Below are 14,008 nucleotides of genomic sequence, written 5' to 3'. Positions count from 1 at the left end.
AGCTTAGTTTTAGGCTTTAATTAGCGTTAAGGTCAGCATCTGGGTTCAGCATTACATGTTAGAGTTTAGGTTAGGTTTTATTGTTATGGATTAGTCTTTAGGGTTGTTGTCAGCTTTAGGATTTTGGAATTAGTGGTTGTGTTTGTTTGCAGTTGGTGGTGTGTTTGCATTTAGGGTCAAGGTCAGAATTAGAGCTTAGGGTTAGGTTTAGCATTAGGCTTGCGTTAAGGATTAGGGTTACATGTTAGTATTTAAGATTAGGGTTTTGGTTGGGTGAGTGTTAGTGTTTGGTTTCAGTGTTTAGAGTTATGGCTGGCATTGCAGATGGTTTAGGGTTACAGTTAAGGTTTTAGGTTTGGGGTTAGGAATTGGGTTTCCATTAGGGTTATGGTTAAGGATTAGGTTTGTAGTTAGGGTTGGTGTAGCGTTGGTGTAGGTTATGTTTGGGATTATGGTTTATTACTAGGGTTTAGGTTTGTGTATCTGTGTTTGGGTTAAGTTTGGTGTTTTGGTTAGTTTTATAGTGCTAGGCTTAGAATTATAGGGCTAGTTTTTCAGTTAGGGTTTGGGTGAGGTAATGGTAGTGGTAGGGTTATAGTTTAGCATTAGAGTTAGGGTTTTTTGTGTTAGGGTTTGAGTTTTTTTTTGTTTTGGTTAAGGTCGGCTCAGCACTACTTTTGCATCAGTGTCAGTGTCATGTTTAGGGTTATGGGTTGGAATTGGGTTTAGTGTTATGGCTTAAGGTCTGGGTTGTTTTTGGCATTGGGGTTAAAGTTAGGGTTATGGTTGGGGTTGCGTTTGATGTTGTGGGTTAGAGTTAGGGTTAGTGTTAGTGTCAGTGTTTTAAGGATAGGGTTATGGTCAATGAATTGTTAGAATTAGGGTTAGGGGGTAGAAGTTTGGATTAGGGATATTGGTTAGATGTTGGACTTACATTTTTAAGGTTAGAGTTTTAGTTTTATGGTTACAATTAAGGTTGCTTTTAGGGTTAGTTTTGAAGGTAGCTTTTGGGGTTAGAGTTAGAGTTGGGATTAGTGTTCAGAGTTTACAGTTAGTGTTCGATTTAGGGTTTGGTTTAGTATTTAGGTTAGGGTTTTGGTGAGTGTTATGGTTTAGGGTAGATTCAGGGTTTTAGTAGGTTTAGGTTTAGTGGTAGGTGTATGTTTAGGGTTATAAGTAGGGGTAGAGTTACATTTAGGGTTAGGGATATGTTTTGTTAATGGTGCAGGTTGGGTTTATGTGAGGATTAGGATTAGGGCTTGAGGGTTATTGTTAGTGTTTCAGCATTAGTATTAGGGGTCATTTTTAGGTTTACACATCTTTTTCTTTTTCAGCCATCTCCACCCATGGACCAACCAGCCCATTCTCTCTGCCCATGTGCATTCTGAGGTCCATATATATTCCATACTTATTTAGGTTATTTATTTAATTACATATGTATTTATTTATATTTGTATTTATTTATTTTTACTTGTATTGATTTATTTTTATTTTGTTTTTTTTGGAGATGGAGTTTCGCTCTTGTTGCCGTGGCTGGAGTACTATGGTGTGACCTCGGCTCACTGCAACCTCTGCCTCCCAGGTTCAAGCGATTGTCTTGCCTCAGCTGCTGAGTAGCTGGGACTAAAGGCATGCACCATCACATCTGTCTAATTTTGTATATTTATTAGAGACAGGGTTTCTCCATGTTGGTCAGGCTGGTCTCGAACTTTCAACCTCAACCTGACTTAACGTAGATTTACCAAGTGTGTGCCACCTCTCCGCTGTGAGGTGTACACTTATTGGGATTGCATGGCTGCAAATAGATAGGTCTCCTCCAAACTTAAAGCTGCAGATGCATTTCAACAACATTCCTGCAGATAGAAGCTACCCACTCTGAAACTTCTCTCCACTGAGGACTTCAGAGATGTTTTAACAACCTACTTTTCCACTGAAGCTGGTCACTATTGGTTCTGTCTTCAGTGAGTGTTGCACAGATGCAGGTATGTCCTGTTTTTGAAATGGAGTTACCTGCTTTCTGTCTCCTGAGAGCTGTACTTTCACTCAATGAAGCATCTATTTACCTTGATTATTCTCCTGTTGTTCACATACCTCATTGTGCCTGGATATGTGTCAAGAACTCAGGACCCACTTAATGGTGAACCCGAAAGATTGCTAACAGAAACAGCGCCGAAACACACAAACCCACACTTACCACATTCTCGGTTACAGGGATAAAACAAAAAAGGATAGAAGAGGTTCAGGTAAATTATGGGTGATTTATCAGTTTAATTTTGATGAAATCATATGTACATTAAATTTTTAAAATATATCTTTAAAATACATAATTTATTTGATGGGCAATATTTAAACAATAGTAATATTTTAGCTGTCTTTCTCGGTCATTTTTATTATTATTATCCTAATAGGAAAAGGTTAAAATTGTCACAGCAGAGACAGGCACTATATTATTGATCTCTTAAGGTGTCATTAACTTCTTAATATAAGACAATTTATAATCTATATAATCAAAATATAAAAATGAAGTCATCTCTTTGATTTAAAAGTTCTCAGATGAAGCAATTGTCAAGTACATATTTTTATCTCTATGGATATTTTAAGGCAACTCTAAATATTTTTTAAAAATATGACCAGGGCACTGTTATCACACATAATACAAATTAGTTTACAAGCTTGGGAAAAGGGGCAGAACCCTGTCCTTACAAAAAAATACAAAAATTATTCAAGTGTCGTGATATCAGCCTTGTAGTATCAGCTACTTGGAAAGATAAAATACCATTTCATTTGTTAACTTTTGATATTTGTTTACACTTTCTTCATTACATTGTTCAAGTTAGAGTAGTTCATCAATGATGTCTTTTAGTTTGTAGAGCAACATTTATCTTTGAGATTTTGTATAATAGTCACCTCAAAAGTCAACATTTTCATCATCAAATAAACATTTTTATTATCAAATGAATATTTTAGTCACTGACAAAAAAGTACTGCTTCCTAGTCCTGCAAGAAAATATATTTATATGATATACTTATATGTAAATACATAATATATAACTCTATATAATATACATATATGTTTTGCAAGCCTGAATGTAATCATAATTTTTGAGCCTTTTACAAAAGTGACCAATAACACTTGGTCCGTTTTTAGATTTGAAAATGTTCAATTGGGCCAGGCTTAGTCATGCACACTGATAGCCTTAGCACTTTGGGAAGCCAAGGCAGGTAGATTACTTGATCTCAGGAGTTAAAAAAAAAAGCCTGAGGCACATGCTGATATCCCATCATTACTAAGATGCAGTAGAATGGCTGAATGTTATGGTCTGCACAAGTAATCTCATCTACCTTTGACACTGAGGTGAAAACATCCCCTGAGCTGTAATTGTTTTGCTACTCTGCAGACTGAGTAATGAAGAGAACACATGCCACACACACACACACAAAACTTACACACACAACCACACACACACACACACACACACAGAGAAAAAAATGGCTTAATAACATCTTAATTTTTTTTTCCTTTGTTTCACTCATTTTATCAAGGCCACATTTGTGGCATGTATGGTAATAAAACACTGTTGCACAACTTTTTATTATATGATGTAGTACATAGCTCTTTCTAGTTTATAGAAGAAGCTGCACCCCTTCATAAGAGTTTACTGTTCTTTCAAGAAGGTAGTTCTTAGATAGCTCAGAGACAGGAAGAAAAAGGGATCTTCTGATTTCTGGGCTGCCTTCTGTTTCACTCACAGCAGTTCCACTTCTATGTACTAGAATATCACTTAGATTTCTTTTAAAAGTCATTAGTGCACCAGTAATGCACTGACTTCCCATTATAACTTTCAGTATAAGTTTCTAAATTTCATAGCTAAACTGTAAGCCTACGTTATGAGTATGATTTGCATATATAATTCTAATTTACATATTTCAGTTCTTTATCCTCACATATCCCTCACTCTTGTTTTTTCTTGTGTCAACAATTTATTTTCTTTCTTTTTTTTTTTTTGCAATCCTTCTTTGAGAATTTATTTCATCTCTCTTCTTTTTTTTATTATTATTATACTTTAAGTTTTAGGGTACATGTGCACAATGTTCAGGTTAGTTACATATGTATACATGTGCCATGCTTGTGTGCTGCACCCATTAACTCGTCATTTAGCATTAGGTATATCTCCTAATGCTATCCCTCCCCCCCTCCCCCCCTCCCCCCACCCCACAACAGTCCCCAGAGTGTGATATTCCCCTTCCTGTGTCCATGCATTCCCACATTGTTCAATTCCCATCTGTGAGTGAGAACATGCGGTGTTTGGTTTTTTGTCCTTGCGATAGTTTACTGAGAATGATGATTTCCAATTTCATCCATGTCCCTACGAAGGACATGAACTCATCATATTTTATGGCTGCATAGTATTCCATGGTGTATATGTGCCACATTTTCTTAATCCAGTCTATCATTGTTGGACATTAGGGTTGGTTCCAAGTCTTTGCTATTGTGAATAGTGCCGCAATAAACATACGTGTGCATGTGTCTTTATAGCAGCATGACTTAGACATTTATGCAGCCAAAAGACACATGAAAAAATGCTCATCATCACTGGCCATCAAAGAAATGCAAATCAAAACCACAACGAGATACCATCTCACACCAGTTAGAATGGCAATCATTAAAAAGTCAGGAAACAACAGGTGCTGGAGAGGATGTGGAGAAATAGGGACACTTTTACACTGTTGGTGGGACTGTAAACTAGTTCAACCATTGTGGAAGTCAGTGTGGCGATTCCTCAGGGATCTAGAACTAGAAATACCATTTGACCCAGCCATCACATTACTGGGTAACAAGTTATTTTCATTAGTTTTCTCTATTCAAAACACTCCTTTTTCTGCAATCTAGTCAATGTTTCTGTTCTTGTTCTTTGAACTTATAATAATACTTTGAGCTTCTGTCTTCAAAACTTTCACTCAAAAATTTATGTGTGCGTACATCTACGTGTGATTATTTGCAACAGTTTGGCACCAGGGATGGGTTTTGTGAAGACAAGATTTTTCATGACCTGGCGTTGTGGAGACAGTTTTGGAAAGATTCAAGTGCCCCGCATTGTTTTTTTGCTTTATTACTGTTATTATTACATTATAATATTTAATGAAATAATTATACAATTCACCATAATGTAGAATCAGTGGGAGCCCTGAACTTATTTTCCTGCAGCTAGATTGTTTTCTCTGTGGGTGATGGGAGACAGTTACGGGTGATCAGTTTTTTGATTGTTATAAAGAGTGCAAAAGCTAAATTTCCTGCATGTGCAGTTAATAGTTGTGCTCTCACTTCTATAAAAATCTGATGCTGCCACTGAACTTACAGAAAGTGGATCTCAGGCAGTAATATGCACCATACATAGTGGTTTAAATAGAGATAAAGCTTCCGTACTTGTTCACCGCTCACCTGCTGATGTGTAGCCCAGTTCCTAAGAAGACACAGATGAATACTGGTTGAGGAAACCCCAACTGAAGCCAAAGAGTTTGAGACCATAGTGAACTGGAATTGTGCCGTGCATTTTAGCTTCAGTGACAAGGAAATAACCTGTCCTCACAGGAAAAAGAAGTAAAGAATATATTTTATAATTTGTATTTTAAATACTATCTTTTGATACAAACGTGAGAAATCTTTTACAACTTTAAATGGGGACATTAACAGTCATCAAAATGTTCTTGATTCTTGGGAATAGGATATCAAATGGAAGGTGCAAATGCACATCATTGTAAAATGTGATAAAAAGTACGTTTTTTTCAGCTTTGAAAAAAAAAATTATCTCTTTGAACACAACCAGAAGACATTAGAAGTGTTTGTGCTCATGCAAAAAATTAACTTCTGCTTTCTCTTTACTCTTTTAGTGGTATCAGAGAGGTAGTCAAGATGATAACTTGTTTAAAGGGAAATGCTATTGACAAAATAGAGTGACTGACTAGGGAAAAAAAGTGATTCTTACTAGGTTAATAATTTTGGATGTAAAATAATCTCCCAGATTGCTTTCATCCCTACTCTAAAATAAATTGCAATTTAATGATTGAATCTTGAAGAGTTGACAGAAGAAAGCATTTTTCTCTTTCTAGTATAGATACATCTATACTATAAGCAAAAACTTATAAGTCTAAAAGCGAAAAACTTCCTTAATTTTATGGGGTTACAACAAATTTTAACAACCACTTGTTTCACAAACAGATTTCTTTCTTTAGGCCTAACCAGCTAATTTTATTTCTCTGCAATTTGATTGGGAGATGTAATGGTAAAATATATTTGAAGATATTATATGTTAAATAACATGTATGTCTTTCTTGACCTTCATAACATCTGACCTCCAAGCTGCCTGCATTATTTCGCACTTACCTGCCATTTAAATTGTGGTTTATTTTTAACATCATACTGCTTGCTATTTACACCTCTGAGACTTGAAACAATTGCTTTTCACCCTACCTGCCACTCAATCCACACCTTTTAAATTAATTATATATAGGTTTTACCTTTTTATAAGACAGACAGAACAGCCTTGCCAACAGGGTGAAGCCCCATCTCTACTATAAATATGAAAATTAGCCAGGTATGGTGGCAGATGCCTGTAATACTAGCTACTGGAGAGGCTGAGACAGGTGAATCGCTTGAATCTGGGAGGTGTAGGTTGGATCTGGGAGGTGTAGGTTGCAGGGAGGCGAGATTCTGCCATTGCAATATAGCCTAGGTGAAGAGAGTGAAACTCTGTCACACAAAATGGACAGTGAGGATTAAATTTATTAATATGTGTGCGGCTTTTTAATGTATTACCTTGTCTTTAAGCACTATAAGTATTAGCTGCTATTATTATTGCTTACTATATATCTTTAGTTTATTCACACCAAATTCTGCTTAATCGCATACAAGAAAACATTAGAGAAGTAACACAGATAGTAGTGGCTATATGGAACCACATAGCCATCAGTGTCTGTGTCAGTAATGTTTTCTGGTGTGCAACAAATAAGAGACTTTTTACATACACACGTTCTTCAAACATAGATTTCTCTAAACATATATTAAAATGTTTGAAAACAAAAACAATACTACAGTAAAATGTAACAAATTTAAAAGCCATTAGATTATAACTGTCTACATAACATTTACATTTTACTAATGATTTATGCAAAGTTAAAGTAAACTACACAGGAGGATGTGGGTGCATTATATTTACATACTACACCATTGTAAATCAGAAGCTTGAGCAGACACAAATTATAGTATTTAAGAGGGTTCTGGAGCCAATCCCCTACAGATACCAAAGGATTGCTATATATAAATATTTTAAGCTTTGGTAAGAAAGTATTGCTTAAGTTAGTTATGGCATAATTACCCTAATGATGTTAATGATTATTTACTTTTCTTTTTAAAATAAATTTAAAAGATTATAAACTTTAAAATTATCATTAAATTGTTTTAATGTTTGTTCAGGAAATGAGAACATTTGTACCTGTTCTCTGTTTATGGTATGTTAACACAGTTAAGCACTTGCTATTTAAATAATTTTCTTTTGTTTCTGTGGCCAACACAAATGATTTGAGTACGACTAAAATAATGTGCAATTACATTCGGTGATTATTTTGAATTTCCTTGGGAGCTGGATATGGGACCTTACACAGCAGCATGCATTGCAAAGCTGGAACAGAATAATTTCAAGTCAGAAAATCAGTTGATTCAACAGAAAGAGTAACCTGAAAATAAAACTACAAAGATCACAAAATACAGACTTGCAGATGTGCCTGTACACAGTGGTCTAGCAAGCAGTGGGTATTATTATTCTTATATTATTCAAACAATGGTAGGATGATGACTGCGATTCCTGGTATAAATTTGATGATGAAGATTTAGCAGAATTTAAAATGGATGATGATCAAGAAATTTTAAAAATCAGTGTTTGGATGGAGAGTACATAAATATATTTGATCATACGCTGAAGTGCATGTCACATAGACGGTAAAAGAGCTGGTAAATTGCTTATATAATTTTCAAACAATAAACAAATGGACATGATAGATGAAGATGATGAGATGATAAGATATATATTATGGCTAACTCTTGTGAGACCTCATCACATTATTATGTCACCAGCCTTTGAGAAAAGTGTATACTAACAAAATGTGACACTTACGCAAAAGTGAAAGCAATAAAGTTGAGAGCATTTGCAGTTTGTGAAAGAACTGCTTATATATATTGGTGTTTATTGAAGTCCTGTTCATGATAAGCTTTTTGATTACCTTCTTAGTAATAAAAATAATGTATGCTTGGCTTGTATGATTCTTTACAAGGCATCAACATGTGTTTAATACTTTTCTTCAGTCTTCTTTTAGCTTTTTTCATGGCATCATTAGCCTTAATTTATGTGAATGTGTAGCCTTTCTATTTTAGTTATTTCAAAGTAAGAAAAAATTAAGATGTCTGTACCTTAAAATAGTGGACTTTATGTATGGAAATATGAAGCACTTTTATTTATTACACAAATTATTATTTTTTACTGAAGCATGAGCTTGAAATGCGGGTTAGTGAAGCGGCAGGATAATCACTGAAAATTGGTCTTACCTAGCAAAAATTTTATTAAGAAAGAGCTTGAAAATACAAATGTTTTTGACTGTATATATACTTTTTATTTAGAGCAGAATTATTTTTCTGCCTGCATCAAATTAAATGACTATCATTAGCATACAGTTTGCACCTATATTCCTCATTACCACTGGATTTTACATTAAAAAAATAGCTTGTGGTCCTGCCAGTGACTGGTATTTGGCTTTGGATTTTATTCACAGGGAACTTATAATTGGTTTGGTTGTCTATTATCCTGCTTTACATTTTCCTAACCATAAAAATATTATTTCAGATTTTAAATATGCATAAACTTTTTTTCAGTAATTGTGAGAGAATTCTTAGTACATTTAAAATTGTCTAATCTAAATGTGTGTTTATTATGTAAAAATTGGCTTCTACTCCAATACATTTATATTACACCTTTTTCCACTTTATCATTAAGTATGAAGTTTTACCTTTACTAGATAAAATATTAAGTGACAATTAAAAAGATACAACATATTTTAGATGACATTTTTTGCCTCACATTTGTAATTCCAATAATTTGGAAGGCCAAGGCAAAAAGAATGCTTGAGGCCAGGAATTTTGAACCTGGTTTGGCAAAATGTGAAACACTATCTCCACAAAAGCTTTTTAAGAAATAGGAAGATATCGTGGCTCACACTGGTGACCTTAGCAATTTGTAAGTCCAAGGTGGGTGGATCACTTCAAGCCTATAATTTCGGGCCAGCCTGAACAACATAGCAAGATTCTGTCTCTAAAAAAATTAAAATAATTCATTAAATTGAATAATTATCTGAGCCTACTAGGCGTTTCCTGCAGAACCAGCTAATTGGGAGGCTGAAGCGGCAAGAACATGGGTAGCACAGGCTGTCACTAAGAAGATCAGACAGACATCTTATTCTTTTTTATAGCTAAGTGGATACAGCCTACTGAACATTTATGTTTTTCATATAAAATTTCTTATTTTCTTGCTTTTTTATGACTAAAAGTAGGCTTCCAGTTTGGAGTCAGGGGACACCTTTAGCTGAGCCATCTCCCCCTGAACACACCAAGGCATTCTTCCTCCCTAAACTGTCACCTATCTTAGCTCCCCAAAATGCTCAGCCACAATTTGTCTTAGATTATCCTACATTTAATGTGATTTTGTCTTCTGATTCTCCTATTAACTCCCTCTTTCCTCCACACCCATGTCCTATCTTTTGCTGCTCTCAGTAATCATTCATCCTCTCGCATCACAAAAGAAGTCTGTACTCCCTTCAGCTAGAGCAACATGAAAATTCCTGAGAAGAACAAAAAAAAAAAAAATTTTAATTTTGCACTTTTTTAATTTTAAAAAACTGTCAAAATTGAGAAACCACATGCATCTGGTAGGGGCACCTGTTTCATCTTCACAGAGTTTACTGATTTGAACATTTTTGTTACATAATGTTAATACAGAAAATTCTGAATTAAACAGGCACACACACAAAAAAACAAAACCTAAACTATATTAAACCAAGGCAATTTTCTAACAATGACTCCTCTTTCCAGTATGAGAGAACTGCCTCCTACAGTATGAGAAATATCAATACTATATTTCTTTCTTCCACACATATTCAACACTTACCAATGCTAAGGAGTTCGAATTTTAATATACCAACTGTCAACCATGAACATATAAAAATTCTGACTGTAAATGATCCATGGTTATTTTACTCAATACTAAAATTATTTCACAAATTCAAGTCCTGTTTTATAATGATACCATTATTTGCATGGCACAAAGATTATTCCTTACAAAATCTATTCTTTAATAGAGATTTGGTTCTTGGAGCCAAATTAAAAAAAAAATATGCTGCTTAGACACACATACATATTTACTTTTCTTAAAACATTTTCTCAATATTTTTATTTTTATTATTTTTTTAATCTCCCACTCTTTGGGATCCCCTTACAAGTAAGTCACCCGCTTTTAAAATCTCTTTCATCTTTAACATTTGTCAGATATTTAGAGACATACCAAATTAAATCATTATATATTCTTCTGATATGACTGAAACATGTTTTGAAGAGATATGCATAAATATAACGTTTCATTCTGAAATATAATCAGTTAGTTTTATTCATCTTTGTCTTCACCTTAACTTTTGAAGGTAAGTTTCAAATAACATAAAATTACATTTGAGTGTATAATTGAATGGAATTAAATATGTTTATAATGTCATACGATCATCATCTATCAATAGTTCCTAAATATTTCTATTGCCCAACCAGAAACTCCATATCTATTATACAGTTCTTTTTATTGTCCAGCCCCTGACAACCCGTAACCTACCTTTTATCTCTATGGCCATGTCTTTTTACCACACAGGTTTAGCATTGCATCAGTTTTCAATCCAACATGCCAAACTAGTTTTAAAATCATTCATATTTCTTTTTCTTTCCTTTATTTTATTTTATTTTTTTGCATTTTGCAATTACTAGGCCTTGTGCTCCTCACACCAATCTAGTTATAATGAGTGTGTCAGGAAGAACATTGGATTTATTTCAGGGATTGAGGACATTATTTCCTTATTTATTTAAATAATGATGCAGGCAAGAGATTTTTGCAGCTTACATTGTGTAAGTGAGCAGTCTATATTTTATTTTCACTGGATACATTTCTCAGATTGGGAAGGAAACCCTTTGGGCTAGAATTTTGTTGGTTGCTAGGAGACCAAAGTCCCCTTGTGATGTCATTGTTACTCAGTTTGGGAACCATTGTGATGGTCTAGATAAGTGTACATGCTTAGGCCTTCTGAAGCAGCATTTGAAGCTGCAGTCCTGAAAACCATGCAGGCCGGAAGAGTAGATAAAGAAATATTTATTTGAGATGGCACATGTTTCTTCAGAAACTCAAGATGTTTCCCCCAAAGATGAATTAACTGCTTCAGAAGCCTCCACTAGGTCTCCATTGTGTGAACACACCTTCCCTGGGGACTCAGACTTACGGTCAATGATTGAAGAACATGCTTTTCAGGTTTTGTCACAAGGATCCTTGTTAGAAAGTCCAAGTTACACAGTTTGTGTCTCTGAGCCAGATAAAGATGATGATTTTCTTTCTCTGAACTTTCCCAGGAAACTTTGGAAAATAGTGGAAAGTGACCAATTCAAGTCTATTTCATGGGATGAGAATGGAACTTGCATAGTGATTAATGAAGAACTCTTCAAGAAAGAAATTTTGGAAACAAAGGCTCCTTACAGAATATTTCAAACTGATGCTATCAAAAGTTTTGTTCGACAGCTCAACCTTTATGGATTTAGTAAAATTCAACAGAATTTTCAAAGATCTGCCTTTCTAGCCACCTTTCTGTCAGAAGAGAAAGAATCGTCTGTCTTAAGCAAGGTATTTGACATATTTGAGTTACCACTTTATGTAAAGTATATATGTAATTTTACTTTGTACATCAGTAAATATGTTAATACATGCAGTAAGACCAGCTTTTGAAAATTATATAAAATATTAAGGTAGAAATTTTGTTTTGAAATTATTGTGTTCAGCTTGAGCGTTAACCTTTTAGTGTTTTAAGAAATTTTGCTAACAACTTTGAATCTTACCAGTGAATTCCAAATAAATGTACCAAAGCCACTTAATGAAATATTACTATTAATATATAACATGTTTTCACTTGAGGGCTTAACAACTTGAGTGGTTTTTCACAATAAGCACATTCTTAAAAATAGTAAACGATGTTTATGAGTTATTTGATGACATTAAATTTGTGTGATGAAAGAGAAATCTGATATTTGATGTGTTATGTTTGTTATTTTCACTTGTCTCTTGGCTTAAAATGGCACTGAATTATGTTTTTCTTTGGTTTTAGTTAAAGTTCTATTATAATCCAAATTTCAAGCGTGGCTATCCCCAACTTTTAGTAAGAGTGAAGAGAAGAATTGGTGTTAAAAATGCTTCACCTATATCTACTTTATTCAACGAAGATTTCAACAAGAAGCATTTTAGAGCAGGGGCTAACATGGAGAATCATAATTCTGCCTTAGCTGCTGAAGCTAGTGAAGAAAGTTTATTTTCAGCCTCTAAAAATTTAAATATGCCTCTAACAAGGGAATCTTCTGTCAGACAGATAATTGCAAATTCATCTGTCCCCATTAGAAGTGGTTTCCCTCCTCCTTCACCTTCAACCTCAGTTGGACCATCAGAACAAATTGCAACAGATCAACATGCTATTTTAAATCAGTTGACCACTATTCATATGCACTCTCATAGTACCTACATGCAAGCAAGGGGCCACATTGTGAATTTTATTACAACCACAACTTCTCAATACCACATCATATCTCCCTTACAAAATGGTTATTTTGGGCTGACAGTGGAACCATCTGCTGTTCCCACACGATATCCTCTGGTATCAGTCAATGAGGCTCCATATCGTAACATGCTACCAGCAGGCAACCCGTGGTTGCAAATGCCTACGATCGCTGATAGATCAGCTGCCCCTCATTCCAGGCTAGCTCTTCAACCATCACCACTGGACAAATATCACCCTAATTACAACTGATCTGCCATTAAAAGAGGACCAGATTATGAATGACAACAGAGACTAACATTTACATTGACAAAAAACCCTAAAAATTTCTGCAATTATCTTATTGAACAATAAAATTGCATGTTTACTTCTATGTTTGCTTTTCCTTTATTTCTAAAAGTATGGTTAAGAAAAAAATGACATTTTGTTTCAGTGGGAGGCTATTGTACTACTTTTTAGCAAAAATATATATGGGCTTTTTGATCCTTTGAAAGCAAATTTGACATGTGCCTTTGTAAGTTAAATAATTTATCTCTCTAAAGAGGAAGAAATAATAAAGTTTTGTGGTCCATTTTCTGCTGAAACAACACAATACCACTGCCTGGGTAATTTGTAAAGCAAACTTATTTTGCTCACTTTCCTGGAGGTGGGGAAGTCCAAGGGGTTGCATCTGGTGAGATCCTCTTTCTACGTTACAACATGGCAGGTCGGCCTCCTACGGTGAAGGGCATGAGATGAACAGAAAATCGGGGCCAAACTCATCCTTTGATCCAAAGGCCACTCACACAATAACTAACTTGTTCTCCATATAATACCATCAAGTCAGTCATGAGGTTGCACCCACATGGCTAATCAACTCTTAAAAGTCCTACCTCCCAACACTATCACAATGGACACAGAATTTCAATGTGAAATTTGGAGGTGACATACCAAACAATGACAGCAGGCAAGGGAGAAGAAGCAACCGGAGTTAGGAAAAAATAATAAGTGACTTCTCAAGTAGTCTGGCATAAATCAAATGAGGGTATAAATTTGAGTGGCACAAAGGGAATAAATGGACACATACACACAGACAAACACACACACACAGACAAAATTTAGAGAAGAGTTAACACATACTATA

General features: G+C 34.7%; 1 protein-coding gene and 1 pseudogene across 6 annotated transcripts in view; both read left to right on the top strand.

Annotated features, from left to right (window-relative positions):
• The window catches only part of HSFY2 (heat shock transcription factor Y-linked 2), a 59,325-nt gene that overhangs the window by 5,693 nt on the left and 39,624 nt on the right, over positions 1-14,008 (top strand). For 3 of the 6 annotated variants that reach the window (NR_003509.1, NM_001001877.2, XM_017030031.3), the window contains exon 1: positions 11,337-11,966. Coding sequence is in view for 5 of the 6 variants with exons in the window: in NM_001001877.2 (NP_001001877.1) it covers positions 11,454-11,966 (513 nt within the window). In the remaining variant the exon portion in view is untranslated. Of the gene's footprint in view, positions 1-11,336; positions 11,967-12,444; positions 13,259-14,008 lie in introns of those variants that run through there. The other 3 variants (XM_005262508.5, XM_017030030.3, NM_153716.2) reach the window with 3 other exon arrangements.
• USP9YP2 (USP9Y pseudogene 2) lies at positions 5,559-8,897 on the top strand (annotated as a pseudogene).

This window comes from Homo sapiens, chromosome Y, assembly GCF_000001405.40.
Source record: "Homo sapiens chromosome Y, GRCh38.p14 Primary Assembly".
NCBI classification, from domain to species: Eukaryota; Metazoa; Chordata; class Mammalia; order Primates; family Hominidae; genus Homo; species Homo sapiens.
Note: the sequence above shows the minus strand (reverse complement) of the source record. Positions and strands in the feature narration are given on the sequence as shown.